Raw genomic sequence first — 26,837 nt, 5'->3', positions numbered from 1 at the left:
GATTCTCTGAACTTAATCTGCCTCCTGCCTGGTACCCTCACTTCTATATTTTCTCTTTCCTGTTGGATTCCATTTGGGAAGAAAGGTGTCCCATCCCTTGAGAAGGCCATTTTCTTGAGTCTACTTGATGGATGGGGAGGCAGAGAATGCTTGAATAGGGACGCAACAGGACACGTAGGAGAGGAAGAAAGGTGAATTTTTGGTGGATCAACAATTATTGGTTTATTGATTGAGAACCTACTATGTGCCTAGTGTTTTAACTCACTTGATTTCGCATATCCCAGAATACCCAACTACAGCCTAATAAGGTCCTTCTCTCTTTAAACTCCAACCAGAATAATTCTTTGTAACTGTCAATGTTAAGGAATATTGCAAAACATGAAGTTTAAGAACTAGTCCAGCCACAGGTTTCTTCATTTTTTAATAGCAGGGGATGATTTAGATGTATGTCCAGTGGCAGATGGTAAAAACAAGGGCCAGCCCTTCTTTCTGACCGAGTCAGAGGGAAGCTCCTTCCAAAACGGAAGCCCCCTGTGGTACTTCCTAGTTAGCCATCCTAGTGAGGAGGCTGATAGGATGGGGGACAGTGTGAGGATGGGGCGGGGCACAAAACTACAGCCTGGGGAAAGGAACACGAACAGTCAGCCTTTGAACCATGCCTTGCACCTAGATTTCAGAGTCTGCTTTTATTTCAAAGCTCAAGATTTTCAAATTCAGATGCACAGCAGAATCCTTCCCCTCCCCCAGCTCAAGACTGCCAGTAGCCCCGTACATACTGTTAGCTAAGTGGCTGCAGTATAAATAACTGGAAGGAATGCTTTATGCTTGGCCACCCCTTCAGCAGGAGACAACTGGCTTTCTCTGTGGTGTTCAGTGAGCCACCGCTGATGCCTCATTAGAACGCGAGACACTCCTGCCAGCCCTGGGCGCTGGCTGCTGGCTGCCTGTGGTCTGCATCTGTAGTCATGACAGACGGCTGAGGCTGTTGCCTTCCACTGAAGACCAAGTACATGATCCACTGCAGTTAATCAATAGGATAATGGAATGAATCAATAGGAAAGATTTTTAGGAGGTCTTAATTAAAGAAACACTTGCAGATACAAATGATGTCTTCAATCTATTGATAGTGCCAAGGTGAAGGGTTAAACACAAACAAAACCATCAACTTTATTTTGCCGGCATGCCTTCCACAAGAGAAGAGCCCAGCAGCCTCCTGGCCCTGGGGTCAGCCCATTAATCAGTCCCTTGTCAATCGCACGGCCACATGGTATGGGAAAATTAGTCTATGATCAAAAATTTTAATTACTAAACAGCAACTCAAAACAACAATGAAAAATAGATGTGGATACCTTGTCCGGCCTTCCTTTGCCCCTAACGTAGGGGCGGCACCCCCTATAAAAACCGGTTCTGCAGACAAACTCCCCTATTGATGTGATGCATAGAATTAGAATAATTAAAGAAAGCCTAAATTGATGGATCCCATTTAGGCAGTGGAATTCTCCAGTGGGCCTTCTACTCAAACATGTTTACATCAATATTTTTGATTCCCCAGACGGTCCTGCACTAGGTACTGGTTTAAAGAGACATCAATCTGTGATGTCAGCATTTATCTAATGAACCTTCAAAAATCAATGTCCAGGATGGCCTGTTACATGCAGGCACCCAATTTGTCCACTCTTTTAGCCTTACTGGCTAAACCTACAGCCATAATAACAGTAAACGTGGACTCAAGTGGTCAGGCGGGATGGTTACACCAGAAGGGGCTGAGATGATATAATCAGTTTCAGGCCACAGAGCTCAAATGATACAAGAACAAAACAAGGAAGCCAAGACACCCTCCTAAACAGTCCAAGGGCCTCCTAAGTTCAGACATGCATGCCCTAAAACAGTCTACTTCTTGACCTCACTCCCCCACAAAACTCGCCTTTCCCTCAAACCGTTCCCATCCCCTTTACCGCTGCCTGACAGGATTTTGGTCCCACTCCTGACAGCTACGGTAATTCTCTGCTTTTTGGGTTACTCAACTGGGACTGCCATTTAGCTCCACTCAACAGGAGGCCTGTGCTAAGTTCTTCTCTTGTTAGTGTTTATGCTCAACTCATCCTCACCCTTCTGTTAACTGGACTCCTTGACACTGATATCTTGACACCCTAACAGGCAGAAGAGAGGGCCTAAGTTTGTTTCACTTCTCTTTTCCTCTTTAAAATAAATTGGCCTGTACTGGCTGCCATGAGACTGAGCTATTTCAAATGCATAACTTGGGGTGACAGCTATGCCATTCCCAATGCCAGTATTTGGCCTGCCTTACAATCTGTGCTTTTGTTCACTGCAGGTCTATCTCTCTCTTGACCAAAAGAGTCAGTCTTGAGAGCAAGTGTGGAGCTTGGACAGTTGTAAGATGTGTTGTGTGGGCTGAATTAGTTGTTGTACAATTCCTGTCTGTCTCTTTGAATACAGCTTTCAGCAGCCCCTCTTGCCGAGTTTGAGTCCAATTAAACTACAATGAAAGGTACCATGATTTCATTTGCTTGGATTGTCACATTTCAGAAGTTCAGTAGCCTGCAAAATGTTCGCTGTCTCTCATTAAGCAGGATCCAGCAACTGTGTAAAGTCTCTAATTTAGCTGCTTTTTAAATTCTGCTTTCAGTCTTGAAGATGGCTGCCTGCAGGGAAGAATTCCATGCCATCCGTGGTATTAGAAAGTGTTTTTGACCCTATAAGTAAGAAACGCATGAGAATAGCAAAACTGACTCTAAAAAAATGGACGATATTCTAAAGATTCCTGATAGGTTTCCAGTATTTTTCTGGAATAATACTTGCTTTGGATAGAAGGTGTGGGGAGGAGCACCTTCTATGTCAAAGAGCTATCAGTATGGTGATCATATGTTCAGAATCGTGAATAAAGACCTCTAAGGTTTTCTCCTGATACATACATATATTTATTTATTTTAAAATCTTCAAAAAATTTCCATTTAGATATACATTTTAAAATGAATTGCCTTTAATCAAAGAATGCTATATAAAATCAGGATGTCCTAGAAAATCTTATATGTATTAGACACTGGGGCAGATCTCAACTGAGTCTCATTTGTGCTTAAGGAGAAAAAAATGACCATTCTGCAGACTGTGTTTAGGCTAATTCTCATTATGAGTCTAGTTTGAAGAGGAAATTGCTCTACAGATGCCCGATGCCAGTAATGATAATTAACACGTATTGATTGCTTACTAGATGCCAGGCACTAGGTTAAGAGCTTACTATACACTATCTCATTTAATGAGATAACCTGTTAAATGAGATGGGTTGTCAAAAATCCACTTTCCAGATGAAAAAACCAAGGCATAGAGAAAGTTAAGTAACCTGCTCAAAGTCATAGCTGGCAAGAGAAAGAACCAATAATCAAACCCAGGCTTATCTGACTCCATGGCCCTTCTTCCTAACCATTTTGTATGTCTGCTTCAGCGGCAAGGGCTAGCACAACCCCCACTGGATTTACAAAATGAAAACTGGCAGGTGCACAATGATAGGAGTGATGTCTGTCCCACTTCCCTTGGGGCAGAGATTAGCATGGCCAGTGAGTCAATTTCAACCCTGGCTAATGCATTCACTTTGGTGGACAGGGATCTTCTGGAGCTCCAATCCAACTAATCTTTCCATTAAAAAAAAATAATACTTATGAATAGGCTTCTTTTTTTCTAATTACAAAAGAAAATTAAGAAAACATAGAAATGCCCAAAGAGAAAAAATATAAATAACCTGCAATTCTACTGCTCAGATATAATCACTCTTGGTATAGATTCTCTATTGCCTTTTTGTTTTTCCCCATGGAACGTATAATTTCCAATATTATTAGTATTTGCTTGGTGTTTGGTGTTTTAAATAAATATGCAAACCTAAACTCTGCATCATGTCCTTCCTACGTCTGATTGTAATCACTAGATTAGGTAGGCTCTCCCTGAATGTTAAACCTCTGGTTCTTTTAAATACCCTGCCATCTCAACTGACTCCACAGGGGCCAAACATGGAACTTTTTAGGCCCAGGTGGTGCAGACGGCCCCAGCTGGCTGAGAACTGAAGGTCAACGAGGCCCTGGGTCTGGCCGAGTGTGCCAAATCCTGAATCCCTGAAGCTTAAAAATGTAATCAGAGTTCCTTCTACCAGCTCAGGGACCCATGGATCTTCTAGCATTCCTTAAAAAGAAAAGTGCAGAAAAAGCCCAACATAAAACTGGAGCGATCAGTTTAATTATGTATGTGTAAAAAAATAATCATGATCAAAAAATGCTTTCGTTTTCTTGGGTAATGTTTTGGAAATATATATGGTTGATATTCTTGCTTGAAAGATGGAAACGATACTTCAGCCTGCAGCCATCAAGGATTTGCAGAACTGGGGCTGCTGCTCTCTGCCTGGCCCCGAGAAGGGTGTGATGAACACAATCTGAAATCAATATCAGGGAACAGTTACCGCATCTCAATATTATTTGCCGAGATGGGCTGCTGGAAGAAGAGTGGGGAAGAGAGATATATGTCAATAGCCTTAACGAAGCACTCCACAGCCATGCACAAAGGGAGGTCAAATAACTATCAGCCGACCAATCCCCATTGTAAGTAGTAAAAATGATAAAATCAATATTATTAAATAAAAAGTTAGCACTGCTATTGAACTCGCCCATGATCTTGGCAGTGCCTGGCTGAAAATGGAGGAGGCTATTTTCCCATCTCTTTGGGGGCAAATGTTTAGGATCGTAAACCTTTGCAAAATGTGGGGGCAGATAGGTATTTTTCATTCATAACCTCAGCCATGGGGACATGTGAACAATAGGGCCAGGTAACTGTTACCTTGCCAGAAAACAATGATCCTTCTCACCCCTGGGTGAACATATATTCTAAGGGCTTCTCAAGGCTGCATTTTTTAGAGCTAGACTTTGCCCTTCTGGCTTTCAGGTTGACAGAGGCTGGGCGAGCTCAGGGCTCTCAAGGAAAAAAGTCCTATTTGCTGTCCTTTCAAATCTTGAGATCTGGAAATGCACTAGAAAAAACCATGGGAGAGAAATGAAAGAAAAAGAAAAGAAAAATAAGAAAATGAGAAAGGAAAAAAAGGAAGACAACAAGGACATTTCAAGAGCTGAGGATTGACCTGTTCTTGTTAGCCCAGAGGACCGTGGGGAAGCTTCTCAAAGCCAGGGATGTGTTCTTTGCTGCTGGCATTGGGTGGTTAATTGTGCAAGCTGAAGGTAGCACACAGGCAGGTATTGAAAAAGACAAATTTAGAAGATAGTCCAACCAAAAATTCCTATGAAAGCAGCAAGCCCCAGTTATATCTGGAGGAGGAAGAAAAAAAAAAAGACAGAGGAGAGAGGAATGTGTAAAACTGAGTGACAGCCCGTCAGTAAGACTGCATTTGCTGCTCTGACCTGCATTTAAACACAGAGCTGCTTAGCCTTTTGAACACCTCAACTTGGCTCCCTTGTTTGCATTTCATAGAAACTACTATAGAAAGTAAACAAGAACCTTTGGTGAATTATTTAGCATACAAATAAACCAGCAAAGAAGGCTAAGTAGGCCTATATGAACTAAGTGGATTGAAATATTCATCTGTAAATAACCCTCCAATCTGGTGCTTTCACGTTCAAATACTACATGGAACATTAGACACAACTAGCTTCTAGGGATATTTAGGCTCACTAGAGAGCAATTTTTATGTCTACTGGCATCTGTGGGTAGTGATATGGACGGACTGTTAATATAACCAACATAAAATTTATGTGAACACTCACTGCAATAGCAACACACTGTCAGACAGCTGGTGGCTGATGCGGAGCACATGCGGATTTTATATGCACTGCGTAAACTAACCTTTGCAATAAAGATTTAGCAGGTTTATTAGTTTAGGAAATCGCTATAATTAAGGATAATTCATAATGGCCGCTTATCCACTCTCCAGCAATAGCTAGCTTAATTTAGGCTCCATTTCTCTGAGCCATAAATAAGTGAGCTGCTATCTTCTGCACAGATGTGGCATTCAACCTGTTCATGTTGGCTGGTTTTTGCTTGTGTTTTAATCAAAAGTATTAGTAGATAAGACTATAAAAAGCAAAAGGTTTGAAATAAATTAACCAGAAATGCATAGGCAAAGTTTTTTTTTTTAAGTCTATTCAAAAAAAGAAAACAAAAAAAAAACAACAACAACCAAAAACACCCCAAAAAGAAGTAACCTCTCCCTCCAGAGGTAAGACAATTAAAAATAAATAATGCTTTTAAATGTACTAAAGGAACTTTCATTTACAAACCTAAGGAGAGGGAAAGTGACAGAGCAATAACATTAATGAAAGCCAAAGAAATATGAGTGTGACCTCTCTACAGTATTTCCATTTAACTGTGCATGTAATTAAAGCCTGACCTTTGCAAATGCAGCATACTTGGCTGTGCAGTAACTTCCCTTGTGATCCAAGCTGGGGCTGCAGAGATGGGAGGCCTCTACAGTGCAGTATTGTGCCTTCAATGTTTGTCCCGTTGCTTTTGCTCTCTGTCCCCACTGGCAGGGACACCTTTCCTACTGGTCCTGAGCTACACCTGATACTCTTCTTCCAAACATCCACTCTATTTCTGTATGACAGCCCATACACTTTGCAAATGCCTGGGACATGAGTCAGCAAATGGTGGGCAGTGCCAGGATCTGAGTCCAGACTGTTAGCACCTTCAATACCAATGGGCTGGTGAGCACATGCGCTGGGTGTAGGGCACACTGCTAAGCCCTCCCTGGCCTGGTCTGAATAGCTAGCCAAAGAAGACTTTCCTTTCACGGGATTTTCCCCGGAACTGCAGCTTCACTGGCATGGGAATTTGGAATCATATGAAGGGCAAAGCTATATAGAGACTTCAGAGTAGCTTTGTTTTTGAGATTTTCATAATTGTGGAGTTAGTCCTCGTGTAATGAAAGGGTGTCGGTCTAAAAGTTGGAAGGGCTGGGATACGTTTCCAGTTGTGTCACTTGTCAGCTGCCATGTCCCCAAGAAAGCCAGTCAGCCTCTCTGAGTTTCAGCATCCCCATTTGCAGACCAAAACTTCATCACCTGTCTCACCTACTGCATGGACTACCGTAAGGACCCAGGAAAACAATGCATATGAAAGTCTCCTGGGACAGCAAAAATGCTATGGGGAATCCCGGTCCCAACACTCACTAGTAGTGGTAACTCCTCAGATGCTAGTGTCCCCAAGGCAAGGCGGGACCAATAATATCTACCTCATTCATCTCACTGGGTTAGGAGGATCAAGAGAAGTACTGTGTGCAAAAGTGGCTAGTCTAAACAGCTCTGCTGTATAAGTTAGTTGAGCTGTATAAGTTAGTAAGTTAGCTAGTAAGTTAGTTAGTTACCAGGTGTCCTCCTGATAGCTTCCAACAGTGCTGCTGGCATACGGGTTCCAAATATACTAAAGTTCCTCAAAGTTACTCAGGTCAGAGGGAGATGGGGACGAGGACTCCAAGGAGGCTGGGGTAATACCAAGTGTTGATGGGCACAGTGCCATGATCCCTAACAGTGGGCTGGAAACATCTTATCACCAAAATAATTTTTCCATTCCCAGAAAGGTCCAAGAGGTGGCCCGGTTTTCTCTGCGAATAGTTTGATCTGGTGAAGACAGGGAGAACCAGAAAGTGACAAGGCAAGCCAAACCCTCTAGAAGAAATTTCTCTCTGCAAGCACTCTCGCTGAAAAGTAGGGTTTGGTGGTAAGACTGAGGAAGTTCACATCATTTGACACTTTTTATTGACAAATGCTAGTATCTGATGTCCTGACTACAAAGCCGGAATATACTCAGGAGAGCAGCAACAGAGGTCAGCAGAATGAGTAACTGTGGGCCGGATGCGGTGGTGCACACCTGCAATCACAGCTCTTTGGGAGGCCAAGGTGAGTGGAACGCTTGAGTCCAGGAGTTCGAGACCAGCCTGGGCAACACAGTAAGACCCCATTCCTAAAAAAAGTTTAAAAATTAGCTAAGTGTGATGGTGTGCGCCTGTAGTCCCTAGTCCCAGCTACTGGGAAGGCGGAGGCAGAAGAAGGCTCAAGCCTAGGAGTTTGAGGCTGCAGTGAGCTATGATTGCACCACTGCACTCCAGACTGGATGATGGAGCAAGACCCCAGGTCAAAAATCAGTACATTAATAAATAAAATAAAATAAAATAAAATAAAATAAAATAAAATAAAATAAAATAAAATAAAATGTTATGCTAACACTCAGCTGTCCCCAGCCTCAGTGGTACGTGCCTTGGTGCCTGACAGTGGCCATTGTGACCAGAGTCAGGCGGGTGGGGGCCAGACCACTTCCAGGAGCATCCTTGCACATCAGAATGAGGAGATCTGCAGCCAGGGAAAGACCTCTCACTTACATTTCCTCACCAAGGCCCCAAGAAGCCGCATGACCTTAGCTCTCAAGTTAATAAAAACAGCCACCGAGCTCCCTTCAGCCAACTGAGCTCCGGTTATCTGGCGTGCTTCCCTGTCACCCCGTGATGGCAAGGGGCTCACCCTCTTTTTTAATTCACGTATACAGGCCTGTTTAATCAGGTGTGCACCGGGAGATTTACATCCCATTACCAACGTGTTCTTGGCAAAATAAAAATCGAATGCTGTGGGTTGTAAAATAGCTTTGGATTACAGAATGAGGGAGCAAGTAGGGTCAGGCAATGGTCTCTCCCTGCCCCATTCCCCAGTTCAGACTGAAAGTATTAGCCCAAAATGAGGAACATATTTATCAGGAAAATCTTTTATTCTTTTAAAATAGAGTTTCCTTTAGGAGTCAAAGTTCACAGGAACATTTACCATTCTGGTGCACAAATTGACATCTTTAATAAGGCTTCTGGAAATTCAGAATTTAAATCATGGTTAGAATGATAGGGTCAAAACATGTCAAACTCAGAACCCAGGGTCAAAAAGAAAATGTTTTCATTACAGCTGAACTGCTTTAAAATATTCTTAGTCTCACAAAATGATAAACTAAAATAAAGAATCTTAAAGCTAACAAATAGACCCCAGGGCTTTGGAAAGAAATATCTGGTTGCAAGGGCTTGCCTACATAGAAAGAATAAATGTTTAAATATATAGCACTCAAGTAGAAGTAGTAATAGTAATAGCAGCAGCAACAGTGGTGATAATAGTTTAAAGCTACATGTACCATTTTTCAGGAACCAGTTCTAGAATTACCAGTACCCTACGTTAAGCTCCTAGAAGTAAAACTAGCAGGATAAGTAAAGCTGAAATAGATGAAGTACAATTCCACCGATGACAAAGGTAGGTGGCAAAATAATAAAGGAATAGGACAAGAAGACTCATTTGAAAAAAAAAAGCTTATTGTAATTTCTTGTTTTTTAAAAATATTACCTTAAAAGCAGTCAGAAGAAGGGCTTGACAGATGAGTCTTGGGTCCCACATACACCCATCTTATTAACGATAGCGATCCTGATCACTGTTCTAGAAGCAGATGCTGGAATATTGGTTTGCTTCCATTCCCAGCTCCTGCTACGCTGCATGTAGACACAGGACTCATCCTGTGTGAAACCTTTGGATCCCCGATATAGCTACGCATACCTCTGGGGGTCAAAATATTCTACTGAAAAAAAAAAAAAAAAGAAAAGAGTTCTAAATGGCTGTGCCTCTGGGCCATTTAGGGCTTCTGTCCAAATGGCTGACAGTGACCCAATGAGGTTTGACTCTTATCGCTTATGTTTACTTTTCGCCTCAAATCTATTTCATAACTTCCCAGAAAGACAATAGAACACCATACGGCATTTGTGATCTCAAGGATAATTACAACAAAGATGATCTATTCTGCATAATAACAGTAACAGATTTCAAAACTGTAAAACGTAGCGCTGTTCGGATCTCAAGCCCAAGTGGGAAACAGCAGTTCCAGCCTTGTGCTTGTTTTTTCAAACAATTCCCTTGGAATTTCTTTCATTGACGAAAAGCAGATTTCCAGCCAGGAAGAACAAGCCTTTCCAGCATAAAAGATAAATAAGGGCCCCCCTGCTTCCGCTTGTCCCTTGCCTGGTGCCACCAACATCAGCAGTTCAGCAGTAGTATTTTGCTCTCATAACTTGGATTCATTTGATTTGCAGATGGGGACCCCTATTGGTATCAGAAAAATTCCGGGGAAAACGGAAAGTAAGCACAGCCTTCTAAACCAAATGTGCCTGAACTTACCAACAAAAAGACACAACATCCACAGTTCTACTTCATAAAGGAAAAGTGTCGAAATCTTCTCATCCCACCTGCACCACCACACACACCCTCTCGGAAACAAGGCTCTGAAGTTAACCTCCCCGCACACCCCTCGGGGGCGCATGTGTGCACACACACACTTTGCTCCAGCTGCCTGTGTCACTGGGGTTGCAGTCCATCTCTCTGCTGACAGATCTCTGTGTTGGGCAGGATTTCCAATCCTTCATGACTATCTATTTGTCACTGCAGGTGAGTGGTGGCACTCAGCCTGATCCCCAGCCACTTTCACAGTTACTTATCTGTCTTTATGGATTCATCCTGTGTGTCAAGCCAGCGCATAACAGCATTACTGTCAGGGTGACAAAACTGTCCCCAGAGTGCCACAAATGATTCTCTCTCCTTATGGCTGCTAGCAGGAGGAAACAGAGTGACACTACCTCGCCTCACTCATCTTTCTCTGGTCCTAGCCTGGTTCAGCATCTCCTCCTGCAGGTAGAGCTGGCTAATGATGGGTTCAGATAACAGCAGCTTCCGAGGTCTCTACAAATTATAAAGAAAAAAAGGGGGCGGGGCTAGAGTTAACTGCAGTGCTTCCTGCAAGCCACCAAGCTCTTGTCACCTGCTCTTAGGTGAGGCACTGAAGTGCTTAGATACCCATCACTGAGGAAGCCAGCGTGTGGGTCCTCCCTCCTCTTCAGCTTCCAAGGTCTGTCACTTTCCTGCCGCACCCCCCTGCCAAGCACACTACAATACCCAGTTCAGAAGACCAAAAAGGTGTTAACGGCCAAGCCTGTCAATCTGAACTATCACGGCAAGCCAAGATTTGAATGTTGTCATTTTCAGAGCAGAAATATTAACCGGAACTAATAATAAATAAGAATTTCAAGGGGACTTTGGGTTTGCCAAATGACTTGTAATCATTTCCACGAGTTGACTGCTTCAAAAATAACATCTCATTTCTTTTCTGTTTTTAAATGGAGCCCCAGTTGCACGTTCCTGTGCAGGCTTCCTTCAGAATGTAATTTTGACAGCAACGTGATGCCTGTGGCCATGTTACTTGGAAGGAAGGTTTCTGCTTTTCCTTTATTTTGATCCCACAACAGCACACCAAAATAAAGGCATCAAGGGACACACTGAAATTTTATTGCCGCCAGGAACTTGCTTGAGGAGTCCATGTTAAGGCATTCTAGCCCTAGACCAGGTCCTCTGTCATTTCACTGGCCTGCCCAAAGTGACCTTCTAATGCTACTCAACAGTTTCACAGAGCCCTCCAAAGTCAAGGTCAGTAGAGCATATCTCTGTTCACCAGGGCAGTCACACTATATTTTGGGGCTTCAGTTAAGTATTAGAAAAATAGATAGTCAACAAGACACTGTACTCACCAGGTGGGGCCGGGGATGAAGTTGAGTCGGAAGGCTTTGCTCTGCCTTTGGAAGGTCAACTGAAACACAAGTGCATGCGTGCGGCTGTACACACACACACACACACACACACACAAACACACATGCCAGTTCAGGCGTGCCTCAAACTCCGCTTTGTTCTTATCCTGATGAGCACTCACTGTCTGAGTTTTTTTAAACAGGTTCAATCTGATTTCTGACACTGGAAAAACAAACCTAAAAGCAATTTAGAAAACACCTGCCCATGAAGTCAGATGGCAAAATATCTAAAGCTTCTCTTGAAATCTGTGACCTCAGAGGCTGACATGGTTTGATGGGAAATTTAATGTAATAGGCTGCGAAAGCCAAGAGGCCTGTTGTCAGCAATGAAGTCTGAAAGTTAGCAGAATTAATAACACTGTACAATGGAAGAGCCCTCAAGGGACAAGGCTGCAGAACCAGGGCAGTGGGGAAAAATGACTTTTGAAGTCATTTCACTATGACATTCTGTCATCACTGCTAAACGGAAATAAAAAATCATCCGAATCACCGCATGTTTCTTTGTGTGTCCTTCCCTTATCTAATATAAAGTAATAACACCCCACCCAGGCTGGGAATGGACCCTCAAGGGATTCCGAGAGCTCCATTTTGAATCACTAAATGCAATAAGAATAAATGCAAGTGGGAGTCTGTTTAGCAGAGAGTGATGCCTGGTCTGTTGCCCATCGAAAGCCAATAAATCTCAATGCTTCAACAAGAGATGAAAATGGTTATCTCATCATTGCAGGGCCAGGGCGAAATTTTCTCTGAGCCAGAGTATTTTTTATAGATGATTTATGTCTGGGAAGGATAGTTATTTAGCAAAATGGCAGATAATGATGAATAGAAAGTAAATATGAATAGCAGCAAGGGAGTGGTGCTTTGCTGCCGCAATAGACCAAACAAAATACCTCCATAAAGTACATGCCATAGATAATTGCCATTACACTGAAACTAGCGTCCCAGTATGGCTGGGAGTGAAATACAAATGAGCCGATCTGATTTAGTAAGTGATTGTTTTTTGTTGTTCTAGAATACATGCCCCAGGAGTCTGCTAATTTTCCTTGAAAGCATACTTTGTGTCTATAGAATAGTGTTTAAGAGCACAGGCTCTGAGCTACACTGATTGGATTCAAATCCCAGCACTACTTCCTAGTTGTTAGACCCTTCACCTTTCTAAACCTTAGTTTCCCCGTCTGTAAAATGGAGATAATAGTATTGACCTCTTAGGTTTGTTGCAAGGATTAAATGAGGTAATCTGTATATAGAGATTACCATGATTCTTGGCAGAGAGTTAACATTACACCAATATGAGCTATCACTATTATTTTGGGGCCAGCCACTCAGAGAACGATTTATTACACTTTTCATTTTATCCAATCTTCTTCATTCACTGAGTCTTTCGGTTGAACCCAGAGTACGATTTGAAAAGAGGAGAGTTAAAAGTGGAAAATTTGTAGTCCACCGATTGGGCAGAGATGAACATTTACCCAGCACATTTTTTGATCATTCCACCATCACTATCCTTAATTCTCAAGGCATATGAAATGGTCACGTTATCAAGTTGGAAGAGAAGTAAGGAACAAAAGAAATTATTCATGGAGTTACAATGAAAAGGAAGTCTGTTTTAAAAAGAAACAGAACTGAGTTTTTGGAGCCTTTGAATAAAAGATAAGTTGACTGCACACAGAATGTCAAAATGCAATGGAAGGGACGTATTTTTTTAAAACACGTTTTATTTTGTACTGAAGCACCACACACAGAAAACAAAAAACAAAAAACAAAAAAAAACTAATTATAGTTTTAAATGTCCAAAACGCCATGTCCACCAAAAGCCCGATGCTCATTAGTACTAGTAATTAACTTTACAACTGTCAACACAAACAGCACACAAGCTGACAGATAGAGAGTAGCTCTGAGGGTGCTAATAAATCCGGAAAGAACAACTTGACACACAGATGCACAAAAGGATGCAGGTGATAAAGAAATGTTGACATCAAATCTAATTATCTTCGAAACGGCCAACTCCAGCATGAGCCACAGTAATGCACTCTTATTGCTGGTGATGGGCCCCACTGGAGCAGCGCTTAACCACTGCCTACAACCGAGCTTTTACAGCCCCTTGTCAGAGCTGGTGAGGACAATATCAAACAGGAAATTATGAGTGCCATGACCCCTCCAAGTCAAAAATCCAGTGATGAATATGGGCTCAGCAAGGCATAGCAGATTACCCCCTCACGAGTTCTAAAGCTGGGATGATATATGACATTTTTATCAGGCACTTTCTCAGGAATGTCACCAAGAGGGAAAATAAAGGCCCTGCAAAGAGATGACTAGGTGAATTATGCAACTGTAATTGCCGATCATAACCTGATATGAGTTGAAATTGCTCTGTTTTCATATTGAGATAGCATACAATTGTCGGGAAATGCAATGGCTCCTTAATGTGGGCTAGATGAGTCTAATATTCTGATCATTTTTCACTCGGCTGCAAGGTAAATCGAGCTTCCTTAACACAGCCACTGTGGCCCAGGGCAATCGAGGGGCCCAATTTTACACTTGAATTGAGCAAATGTGTGTAAACTACGATTTTTCATATTTTCTGCATGCATAAGAAGATGAAACATCTTTATCATCTGTATTGTCTGGCTGAGCTGATACAAAATATTAGTTTATCTCTCCTACTTTGGTTCATTCCATAAGCGAGACACATAGATCTGAAGGACAGGCAATATCCCATATATAAAACAAGTCCATCTTTTATGCAGTCTCATTTCACAAGTTCTCCTATTTAAAACAACCACCACCACAACAAAAATAGACACAGTAGCAGCAGACAAAGGCAGATTTTTTATTTATTTATTTATTTTTTAAAGAGAGGAGGGAAAAAAGCAAATAAAGGCCCCAAACACAACCAATTGTTCCATCATTCTCCGGTTCATGCACAGGAGGTGGGGGGAAAAGCCAAGTAATCTTTGGTGTCTCTCACAGATTGTCTGCCTTTCCCCACTTAAATCAGTTATACCTGCAGGAGGATGGTATCAGCATTTTATTGCTTTGCCACTGTGGCCTGCAGCAGATGGAAAAAGAGTGTGTAGGCTTTCCTCCTCCTTGAAGTCATCTCTAAACCTGGGCACCTCTTGACGGGATTACTGGGGCTTTTGGTACCTGGTCCTGTTCCTTCTTCCTGAGCCCCACTCTGGAGGGTAAAGGACCCAGTACCAGCAGGGCTGTTTCTTTACTGCGCTGGAGTTTCTCCTCCGGCCAGGCGTGGTGGCTCACGCCTGTAATCCCAGCACTTTGGGAGGCTGAGGTGGGTGAATCACCTGAAGTCAGGAGTTCGAGACTAGCCTGGCCAACATGGCAAAACCCCATCTCTATTAAAAATACAAAAAATTAGCTGGGACTACTGACACGTGGTGGTGTGTGCCAGTAGTCCCAGCTACTTGGGAGGCTGAGGCAGGAGAATCACCTGAACCCTGGAGGCGGCGGAGGTTTCAGTGGGCTGAGATTGTGTCACTGAACTCCAGTCTTGACGACAGAGCGAGACTCTGTCTCCCCCCTCAAAAAATAAAATAAAATAAATTCTCCTCCATAACATCTGTCACCCACCTTCAGGCCCTATGTCAACCACACAGTACCACCCATGTCCAGGGCACTGTGTCACCCACAGGAAGAGGCCGTGGGAATGAGTCTTCTAAAGAATCAGCCATGAGAAGGGCCATGATAGCAGGGTCCCCATGGAGATGTGTTCTTACCACTGTGATTTACTGCTCACCAGCAACATATTAGAGCGTTTTGGGCTGATGTCTTTATCTTCCTGGTGCTCCTTAGAAGTATTCTGTTGGTGGACGCAGCTGGGCCCAGGGTATGACTCACATCTACCAACCATGTTCAGACTCAAGCCACAGTGAAACTTGCATTTATATATCGGGCGAGCATACAAAGCATTAAAATAATCTCATTTTTTTTGGTCATTTAAAAAATAACCATTTGCCCAGCTGGGCAACATGGTGAAACCCCATCTCTACCAAAAATACAGAAAAAAAAAAAATTAGCCAGGCGTGGTGGCCCGTGCCCATAGTCCCAGCTACTCGGGATGCTGAGGTGGGAGAATAACTTGAACCTGGGTGGCAGAGGTTGCAGTGAGCCGAGATCGTGCCACTGCACTCCAGCCTGGGCGACAGAATGAGACCGTGTCAAAACAAAAAACAAAAAACAACATTTGCTTCTAATGAAGACATCCATAGGTAATAGGGTGTTAATGACAGAGAGACCAGGGAAGAGGAAAGAAAACTGACAGACTGGCAAGAGTCACTCAAACTGAGTCACGTTGATCATGGGATGCCCACAGCCAAGGGCTGAGAATGTAGGATAGTGCTCTCTCTTCCACAGTGGTCAGCCAGCTCCATAAGGAGTCAATGTAGCACGGAGCAGTGCTAAACAAGGTTTGCTGGAACTGTCTACAGCTAAGCTAAGTGAAAGTTAGGAAGAAAGTGTTGTATTTGTATGTGTGTCTGGGGAGGGTTATATTAGAGACCACTTTGTCAATTTTACGGCTCCTTCCACTCCAGCTTCCTCCTTTGTATGCCTGCTGCTCATAAACCAACCTTCAGTGTTCTCTGACTCCGTGTCCATCTCACTCTCCTAGACTGTGAGTTCTTTGAAGGCAGGGACCTTGCTTTATTTGTCTTGGTATCCCTAGCATCTAGCACAGTCCCTGGCAAAGTTGTCATTCAATGCCTACTGAATGAATAAATAAATGAATCGATACATGTGGTAATTGGCCAGTATATTCATTACCTAATGCCGGGTAACAAATTACCTCCAAAAATGAACAGGTTAAAACAACAAACATTATTATTTCACAGTTTCTGTGGGTCAGGAATTTGGGAGCTGATGGCTCTGGTTTTAGGGTTTCTCATAAGAATGCAATCAATGTTTCAGCTGGGGCTGCAGTCACCTGAGGCTTGATTTGGTCTGGGAGATAAGCTTCCAAAATCGCCTTCCAAAATCAGCGACATGGCTGTTGGCTGGAGGCTTCAGCAACTTAAGGGCTTCTCCATAGGGTTGCTCACAATGTAGAACTGGCTTCTCCCAGCGTGAGTAGTCCAGACAGAAAGAGATCATAAGTGGCCACACTGCCTTTTGTAACCTAGTTTATTCCCCCTTACTCAATTCATCAGAAGCGTCAGCCCACACTGACAGGGAGGGCATTACACAAGGCTGTGAATATCAGGAAGTGGGGCTCACTGGGGGCCATCTTGGAAATTCTAACAATTTAATTCAACCAACGTTTATTGGGTGCCCTCTGGGCCACAAACCCTGTGCTGGGTGCTGGGAATAAATGGTCAGTGGGAAGCAAGGTATATGACCCCCGCCCTCACAGAGTTTACAGTTACAGGAAAGTTGAGTATTAAACAACTAGAGTTTGAGTGTTACTTACCTAAGGGACAGCAGTGGTGGGACTGTGGGAATGAATGTGAGAGCACGGAGCACCCTTAGCTTAAGATATTTAAACTGGAACCATCAGCCATTAGACAGATTGTGATATCATGCATGCTATTGTTACGCACTAGTCATCATTTTGGCTTCTTCCCAAATAATTATACATTGTCCTGAAAATACAGTGCTCTATTGTAAGTGAGGATGAGCCCTTTATAGGTACTAGGAAAGAACCAGAGATTGTTATCAGCTTCCTCTCTCCAGTGGGGAACTTCAGGCCAGGAGGGCAAAGACTTTCTCAATTGAACAATAATAACTTTGTATCAAAACACCTTCATTCTTCAGCCAGAAAACAAGCCATCGGTAGAGACAGAAAACCTGCTTTCTGAGCCCTAAAGATATCCTGCTAATCAGTAGATAATGGGGGACTGAATTGTGCCCATGAGTAGGCTGAACCAAACTAAACCCAAACAAAACCTTCCTGTGTCATTTAATTTCCTTAATTTTTATTTTTAAAATAATAGACATGGGCATACATTTTTCTGTTTCTGTTTTGTTTTTTAATCCAAGAATCGACTTGTTTCTTCCTAGGGAATTTTTATTGAGTTGGAACACACTCAAAATTATTAAGAATTCTGATCAGAGGTAAACATGCAAAACACTCAGCCGAGGGGATTAAGACTCTTTGTTAGTGTTTACGTTATCTCTTTTTAATTCCTATATATCCTTTCTTTATCTCAGTGTTTCAACACTAATTGCAAAACAGCCCCTGCACCTTTGCAGACCTCTAGACATAGCTCGTTGCCATAGATAAGGCAGTCCCTTAACAAGGCTCAGTATCTGGATCAAGGTCTTGTACTGCTTTTCCACTTTCTTTTGCTCATCTGGCCTTCCAGAGGCTAAACCAGCTCACTAAATCATGTAGTTCAGGGTGATATCTTAGTCTGCTCAGAGTCTCAAAACAGCCAAGTCTAATGAAATGAATATGCTGTTCGTGGCCTCTTCAAGATACTTCTCTACTCCAAACAGAGCAAGACTGAACATCAGTATATCAGAGCACCAGTTCCACCCAGTATTGCAAGCAGGGCTGAATCAAACCTGGGCCCTGTCGCCCACTTAATCCTAGTTCGCTGGTATGAACTAACGGAAGCTAAATTAATCTTGTTCTAAAGACTTCAAGCCAGTGCAACTTCATTCTCCATCTCTTCCTTCCATGAATTTTCATGCTGCCTTTTGGGTAAATAATGCACCCTGAGTTCAGCTAGCATTGGGTTCACAGTATAGTGTCAAAGAAAGAGAATGAGCTCTTGTATCAATGGGGTGATTCAACTGCCATTTACTCTTATTTTACTTCGCAAGAGAGGAACTAAGTTCCGCCTTTTCTTTCCTTTAGCCCCAATTTTCCACTCAGCCGTCTCTATGATTACAAATATCTTTCACTCCTTTTTCATTACTGACTCACCTACACATTGAAATGGTACCTATTTCATCTTCCTGTCTTGTCTCTTCCTGTATGCCACTTCCAGAGACTTAATTCAGGCACCGTTGCTAAGCAACTATACATCATAGCAGCCAGTCACCAATTACTAATTGTCCTCAGCACTTTAGCCTTACAAATCTGGACTACCGGTGACAATGGCAAGTAGTTTTGATGGCCAAAAACACACCGGGAGGTTTCTCAGCTCAGCGAAGACAGAGGCACTAATAACAAGGTATTACCATCATGGCAGTAACAAAGATTTCCAGTCTTATACCGGCTGAATCACGCAGTTTTAATTCCATCAGCTTGGCTCTATTCTCTCCTTCCTGCCCAGGAAATAAATTGGAAGTGTGGTGAACACACACACTGATGAAAATGTGGATGCTGGCATTTCACACGCGTTCACCTTCCTCCCCACTGGCACCACCCCGTTTCTACAGTTTCTAGTTGAATTGAGGATCTATTAGTAATCAAATTTCAGCCTCAATTTTATGGTTAGTGTAATGGAGTTAATTTCTCTAATGCTAGCAGTTCATGGAAGGAGTCTCTTGTGGCAGCGCAGACCTGGGACTCGTAGCAGCTGTCAGAGTTGCCGCTAAGGAATTCCTTATTAGCTAAGATGCAACCAGGCAGAAAACTCATTACACAGTGCTAAATATACTTAATCACATCTATTAGAGAAAAATGAACTTGATAATTACAACAAATAACTAAACTGCAGAAAGTGTTCAAGGAAAAAAAAAACCGACACCAGGATCTAAGTGCACGGGGAATCGGAGCTGCAGGAGCCAAAAGAGAACCTAGGAGCACGTGGCTTTGTGCTGAAGGAGAAACCAGTCTCAAGGCAGGTGGAGTTGATTTAAGTTGCTTACGAAAAATGACAAATTTACATTTCAAAAATGCCCTTGTTTATTTGGCATTTGTAAAATTTTAATTACAAAGCAATCCTCAGAGGGTAAATGCTTTTTTTGTAGACTGTTTCTCGAAGGCAGGGGTTTGGGCAGGGGAGGGATGTAAGGAAACCCACAGTGAACACTGGGCTTGACAAATAGAGATCTGAAATAGCTCAGTTACACGTGTAACTTCCTTGGAGCCCAACAAATGTTGACAGTCAAATTTGTCTTTTTCTCTGTCACAAAATTGAAGTCCCTGAATGGGGGGACCTTTACCATTCCCGACTGAGGAATATATGTGAGAAGCCCCAGAGTGAGTGTCGCCTATCAATTTTTCGAGTGCCTGACCTCATTCAGGAAGGAGTCACTGCCACCAAAGGTGGTTTAGAGCAGTTCGGCTTCTGTAAGCGAGGCCAGAGAATCAAGTTAACTTTAGGCCAAGATCTGGCAGGAGATGATCTTTGGAAACTGAAAGAGGGAGGGGGAAGAACTGGTCCCAGTTAAGCAAGACAGAGATAAGAGACATTGGAGAGAGAGACATGGAGCGGGCATGGAGATACGAAGGATCAGGATAAAGGCTGAAAACAGGCGCTAGCCCATCTGTGAGTTAAGAGGAGCCCCATAGATGTATGATGAGCAAAGGTGAAAGCTGGCTAAGCCTGGAGGAGCTTCTGACTCTTTGGCAATTTCATCTCTGCAGAGAGGAAAGATGGACACAGTTATTAAGAATAGAAGTGGCAAGATGGTTTCATCTCTGTAAAATCTGCTACAGCAAAATATACTGTTGTTACCTTTGGCCACCAATGGCAACAGCAGAAGCAGCCCACCCACTCCAAATACTGGGAAAATCAAAAGTCACGTTCTTGGCCGGGTGCAGTGGCTCACACCTGTAATCCCAGCACTTTGGGAGGCTGAGGTGGGTGGATCTCCTGAGGTCAAGAGTTCGAGACCAGCCTGGCCAACAGGGTGAAACCCTGTCTCTACTAAAAAAATACAAAAATTAGCTGGGTGTGGTGGCATGCATCTGTAGTCCCAGCTACTCAGGAGGCTGAGGCAGGAGAATCTCTTGAACCCAGGAGACAGAGGTAGTGCCACTGCACTCCAACGTGGGCAACAGAGCGAGACCCTGTCTCAAAAAAAAAAAGTCAAGTTCTCATATCCACACCAATAATTGAGAAGCCCTTTCCTCTTATTATCCGTATTTTAGATGGGCATCACATGCCTATCAACCATAATGCTCCACATGGACTCAGCCTGCCCTTGAAAAGGAAGGCACACAGAAGAACGATGAGACTTAAGAGGAAAGACTTCAGCCAGGTAATCAGTGATTGGTGTTTAGTGCCTGGGAATGGGCATTCTGAGCAGCATGGCAGCTCACCGGGTGCTGGCCCTTACAGCTGGGTAGCGAGATCAGAGGATGTGACAGCATCAACCCAAACCAGCCATCCAGCTGCACTGTGTTTCATCACATATCAATTTTTACTGAAAAGAAAACCATACAAATTTAATCAGCTCTTCATATGGAAATATTTAACTTTTTCCCCCTCGAGTTGTTTGATATTATTGTTTTAAGAGTCAGGATTAAAAAAAAGTCAAGATGTCTGATAGTGGTGGACACAGAAAAGCATCCATTTCTGGCAAGAGAGCAAGTCTCATTTCCAGTAGACTCAAGTCTTAAATGCACTGGCGTCTCTGTCAATTGCCTGGCTCAATGAAGAACATATTACATGCCCATAACCATGAAGTATAAGACACGAATGATCCATCTTGCACACCCTCACCCTCAGTCAAGGCAGGATGCTATTATCGGTGAGAATAATACGATCTCAGAAAAGCTCCTGTTGCCCACAAGTCTAGAGAGTGTTCTGTTTTGGCATCCAGTCCTCTGAGGTTTCCGTTTGCTCCTTTGCCCTTCAGAGATGTTATCAAACAACCTTGTTCCAGAACTTCTAATCTCTGAAAACCTATAATGTGAAACTCTCTTAGATATCTACCTATTAAAGAACTATGTTCTCTCTCAGTAGTCATAAAATGTAAAACACCTCTTAAAAGAGACTTCCTTTGTTTCCTAGCCAAGGGCACATAAGACAAAAGAAGCTGCCTTTTAAATATAATTTTAAAACACTATGTTACATAAAATGAAGTATTGATATAAAGGGTGATTTTAATATGAGGACTGCTTTTGAGATCATGGGCATTTAAAAATACCAAAGTGATGTAAGCTACAGGCCAGGGCCAAGAACTTTCCATCTCAGAAATGGGTCCTCAGAAACTGAGGGGGGAGGAAAATACAGTGCATTGTCACCAACTGTATTGGGATGCCATGTAGATTTGAAGACTACCTATCACCTGTGCCAGTTCTTGAGGTGGGCAGATCCACGGCAAAGCCTGGCTCAGGCCCAGCCAGGACAACTGTCCTGAACCTCCCAGAATCACAGTCTCAAATCCTTAGACACTTCTAACCCTGAGATACTTGCAAAGGGAGAAACGTGCACTGGCTAGGCAGCTATTGGGTTGCCAACCCATAACCAGATTAATTTTTCTCAAGGCTATTTCTCCTTATAGTGGAGGATCGGCCTGTTTACTAGATGCCATGACACCGGCCAGCTGGGCAGAGTTAATCTCCCAGGCTCTTGAAGATTTCTTCTTCTGGCCTTCATCATGTTAGCAACATTTACCCTTTCCCTTGAAGGAGGAGAAATGGCAGTAACCGTTAGCAGTTGAGAAGATGCTGGGCTGTTCTTGAGAAGAGTACTCTTTGGAACTCAAGGCACAGAAAACTTTATGTCAACATTATGGATAACGCTTTTTGTAGAGGAAAAAGAAATCCCATTTCTATTATGCAATCAGGAAATTGAAGATGTCTATCTCCAGATAACCAACTGCTTGTGGTGCGATTTCAGTTGGAAACTTTCACATAGAATGTTTTCATACTGTCTGTTCTGGCGTTTCTGTCAGTTCACATTGACTTTTTTTGCTCTCTCTAGCAAATAAATCAGAAAGTTAATAGTTCTGTTGATTTGTTGGAGCATTTTTTTCCTCTTTAAAAAAATAAAGAAAAGAAAAGAATAGCTTTAAAGGGGGAAAAACTGATCCCAGTGTGTTAACAACTCCATTGCGGTTTTAGGCTGCGGTCATGCCAACTGTCTAGTAAAAAGAGAAATTCCACTGTAGCAGAAGTAATAAAATCTTCTTTTAAAGCACAAATACCATGCAGGGAGGAAACGTAAACCCTTGCTTTAGGACAAGAAAGGTGGTTGGGGGTGTGGGTAGGAGGTAAAGTATGGACTGGAGCAGCAAGGATTCCTGGTCACCACCCTGCTTTGGATAATCTTTCACCCAAAGCAGCTGTTTCCATGACCCAGAACCTTCTCTTCCTCTTCATCCATCACCCAGAGGATTTTATAAAGATGTAAGCTATTATCTGAAGCTACTTCATTGTTATTCATATGACCAAATATTTATCACCCACTCTGCTTTTTCAAAGAAGCTGATCTCCAAGATGGATAGTTAGAAGAATCTCATCAGCATGACAGAAGGCTTATGGCAAGCAACATGCACTGCTCTGGGAGAATATGACCGCTTCATATTCTCAGATCCACTGTGATCTCTCCCGAAACCAGAGAGCCGGGCCTTTAACATCTGAGTCCCATATCAGGATTTCTGGGACTCATAATTGACAAATAATTGACTTTCCTTAAAATCAGGGTCAAAGCTCCCCAAATTACCACCCTTGGTGATGAACACACTGGGTCAACTGTTCCCCAGGCAGCCAGGAGGAATCCTGTCTGCCCCACAGGCCCCCACTCAGTTACTCCAACAAAAGGCAGCAGTTGAATGTAGAGAAAAGTCAAGTGAAAAGGGCCGGGATCCTGTGACATGAGGCATTCAACAGCCAGATTGTTTTCACACAATCACTCAATATCTCTCATGATGGCCAGACGTGGATCCGTTTGCCAGGTAATGCTTTGACGCTGAGAGCCAGCAGAATGCAAAGCCAAACTACTGCTTCCTCATTCAGGCTCTACATGAAAACACCCATATCTTGGATCCACGGCCAAATCCTGGGAAAAGAGCCCATGAATGGGCATCTCAGAGTGGCCACCTTCTGACTGCCCTCCCTCTTCCCTTTGCCTACATTCTGCCTGAAGGGAAGGAGGGGCAGCTCCAGGGGAGGTAAACTGCAGTCCCAGCAGCAGCAGCCCCAGCCACCACCTTAACACTTGAATGAGTTAAATGCAAAGATACAAAGACAAGTATTTCATTTCATCTGGTATTTCCTCAAGCCCTCCCACCAGCAGGAGCTATATGTAAACATGGCCATTTCCCCCCCTCACCACTTTGAATTTAATTGTATTCCTAATTGAAAATGAAAATTAATTTGCTTTTGATCAATTCCAGGTGGTAGATCAGCCTGAAATGGTAGCAGAGCATTTTTTCCTCTCTGGGTGACCACACACACATGCCCATAAACACCAGCATGTGCTACCGGCATAAACGGGCAGCCATCTCTTTTTGCACAAGGTCTTCCAGGGTCTCTGTCTCTCTTCCCTGTGCTGATTGGCAGCATTCAATTTTTAAGGGAAGATTTACAAAAGTGACGGTACTTGTAGAAATAAACTGCTGACAGGCTTGCTGAGTTAAGTGCGTAATTAAGGCTGTGGAACTACAGATGTTGAACAATGGTGGCTTCCATCAAGACGTATGTGGTAGTATCACAAATAACCTGGCATCTGGTTTCTTTATCTAAGTACCTTTCTTACGGTTTGGATCTTAATTTTTTACAGTTGACAGCAGTGTTATCTGAGCTAGTCAGTGGCATCTGGCTGCTGGGGGGAAAAAAAGAAAGAAAGAATGAAAGAGAAAAAAAAAATCTCCATGCACTTTAATTAATTGTGGAGAAATTACATGGTCCTTCAACCGTGTAGTTTGTCATCAGTGCACATTACAGATTTATATTAGATGTTTCTCCACAGTGTCAGGAATAATTAAAAGGGGGTAGGAAATGATGCCAACCAGCAATGCTTTACATCAGTGGTGAAAGTTTTATATTTATTACAGCCAAACAATTTTAGAAGAAGATGTCAACTCGGAGGCTTGAATGTGCATGGAATACTTATCAGGCTGGAGGCAAAGTCAATGCTCTACGGCTGCTGGAATAATGAGAGAGGGCTCATGTTTAATCTATCAGGCCGACCAGAATTGGGATGGCATGCCAGAGTTATTAATGACGTGGCATCCCTGTTTCCATAAAAACATTCACCCAAAACAATAAGTAACATATGCTTTTTTCTTTTTCCTGAAGTGATCTTCACCCAATTGTTCTTTCTGATCCTAATAAGAACAGAAGTGCCAACTGTATGCAAGTCACTTTTTTTGCTCAATTAATCTGTGCCACATTTATGGCTTGCACAGCGTTGGTGGAATGATTTACTAAAAAGATATCAAAACGACTTTTGCCTTCACTGAGCACATGATTACAGCTTCCCTGCTGGGGCCTTCCATGAAGGGAGACCTACCCAGATGGCAGCCAACCTGAATGGTAATCACCAACTTGTACCTACTCCACCCAAGCAACTCAAATCTTAGCTTCTTTTTTTTTTTTTTTTTCAAGTATTTTTATTTTTTTATTTTTTATTTTTTATTTTTTTTTACATTAAACAGCAGAAGTCTTTGTTAGACCTGAAGTTTATTAGACCTTGTCTTGTTGACTTAGGGAAATTCTTTTTTTTTTTTTTTTAATTTTTTTTTTTTATTATACTCTAAGTTTTAGGGTACATGTGCACATTGTGCAGGTTAGTTACATATGTATACATGTGCCATGCTGGTGCGCTGCACCCACTAACGTGTCATCTAGCATTAGGTATATCTCCCAATGCTATCCCTCCCCCCTCCCCCGACCCCACCACAGTCCCCAGAGTGTGATATTCTCCTTCCTGTGTCCATGTGATCTCATTGTTCAATTCCCACCTATGAGTGAGAATATGCGGTGTTTGGTTTTTTGTTCTTGCGATAGTTTACTGAGAATGATGGTTTCCAATTTCATCCATGTCCCTACAAAGGACATGAACTCATCATTTTTTATGGCTGCATAGTATTCCATGGTGTATATGTGCCACATTTTCTTAATCCAGTCTATCATTGTTGGACATTTGGGTTGGTTCCAAGTCTTTGCTATTGTGAATAGTGCCGCAATAAACATACGTGTGCATGTGTCTTTATAGCAGCATGATTTATAGTCCTTTGGGTATATACCCAGTAATGGGATGGCTGGGTCAAATGGTATTTCTAGTTCTAGATCCCTGAGGAATCGCCACACTGACTTCCACAATGGTTGAACTAGTTTACAGCCCCACCAACAGTGTAAAAGTGTTCCTATTTCTCCACATCCTCTCCAGCACCTGTTGTTTCCTGACTTTTTAATGATTGCCATTCTAACTGGTGTGAGATGATATCTCATAGTGGTTTTGATTTGCATTTCTCTGATGGCCAGTGATGATGAGCATTTCTTCATGTGTTTTTTGGCTGCATAAATGTCTTCTTTTGAGAAGTGTCTGTTCATGTCCTTTGCCCACTTTTTGATGGGGTTGTTTGTTTTTTTCTTGTAAATTTGTTTGAGTTCATTGTAGATTCTGGATATTAGCCCTTTGTCAGATGAGTAGGTTGCGAAAATTTTCTCCCATGTTGTAGGTTGCCTGTTCACTCTGATGGTAGTTTCTTTTGCTGTGCAGAAGCTCTTTAGTTTAATTAGATCCCATTTGTCAATTTTGGCTTTTGTTGCCATTGCTTTTGGTGTTTTGGACATGAAGTCCTTGCCTACGCCTATGTCCTGAATGGTAATGCCTAGGTTTTCTTCTAGGGTTTTTATGGTTTTAAGTCTAACGTTTAAATCTTTAATCCATCTTGAATTGATTTTTGTATAAGGTGTAAGGAAGGGATCCAGTTTCAGCTTTCTACATATGGCTAGCCAGTTTTCCCAGCACCATTTATTAAATAGGGAATCCTTTCCCCATTGCTTGTTTTTCTCAGGTTTGTCAAAGATCAGATAGTTGTAGATATGCGGCATTATTTCTGAGGGCTCTGTTCTGTTCCATTGATCTATATCTCTGTTTTGGTACCAGTACCATGCTGTTTTGGTTACTGTAGCCTTGTAGTATAGTTTGAAGTCAGGTAGTGTGATGCCTCCAGCTTTGTTCTTTTGGCTTAGGATTGACTTGGCGATGCGGGCTCTTTTTTGGTTCCATATGAACTTTAAAGTAGTTTTTTCCAATTCTGTGAAGAAAGTCATTGGTAGCTTGATGGGGATGGCATTGAATCTGTAAATTACCTTGGGCAGTATGGCCATTTTCACGATATTGATTCTTCCTACCCATGAGCATGGAATGTT

At 42.6% G+C, this 26,837-nt stretch overlaps 1 protein-coding gene and 1 long non-coding RNA gene across 14 annotated transcripts in view, besides 2 other annotated features; both read right to left on the bottom strand.

The window, feature by feature from the left end:
- Nucleotides 1-26,837, bottom strand: part of FTO (FTO alpha-ketoglutarate dependent dioxygenase) — a 417,979-nt gene that overhangs the window by 48,625 nt on the left and 342,517 nt on the right. The window lies entirely within an intron of this gene.
- On the bottom strand, nt 780-25,170 carry LOC105371271 (uncharacterized). The gene is made up of 3 exons (XR_933590.3): nt 17,079-25,170; nt 9,375-16,723; nt 780-1,018 (listed from the first exon to the last, which is right to left on the bottom strand). It is a non-coding gene; the product is annotated as an uncharacterized LOC105371271 (long non-coding RNA).
- Nucleotides 22,638-23,571: an enhancer, noted in NCBI's record as "OCT4-NANOG-H3K27ac hESC enhancer chr16:54083658-54084591 (GRCh37/hg19 assembly coordinates)". NCBI's record gives its function as "activates a minimal SCP1, AML or CMV promoter by ChIP-STARR-seq in naive H9 embryonic stem cells {active_cell/tissue: H9 hESC(naive)}" and the evidence as "EXISTENCE:reporter gene assay evidence [ECO:0000049][PMID:30033119]".
- Nucleotides 23,572-24,506: an enhancer, noted in NCBI's record as "NANOG-H3K27ac hESC enhancer chr16:54082723-54083657 (GRCh37/hg19 assembly coordinates)". NCBI's record gives its function as "activates a minimal SCP1, AML or CMV promoter by ChIP-STARR-seq in naive H9 embryonic stem cells {active_cell/tissue: H9 hESC(naive)}" and the evidence as "EXISTENCE:reporter gene assay evidence [ECO:0000049][PMID:30033119]".

Source organism: Homo sapiens, chromosome 16, assembly GCF_000001405.40.
Source record: "Homo sapiens chromosome 16, GRCh38.p14 Primary Assembly".
In the NCBI taxonomy this organism is placed as follows: Eukaryota; Metazoa; Chordata; class Mammalia; order Primates; family Hominidae; genus Homo; species Homo sapiens.
The sequence above is the reverse complement of the archived record's forward strand: the minus strand, read 5'-3'. Positions and strand labels throughout refer to the sequence as shown.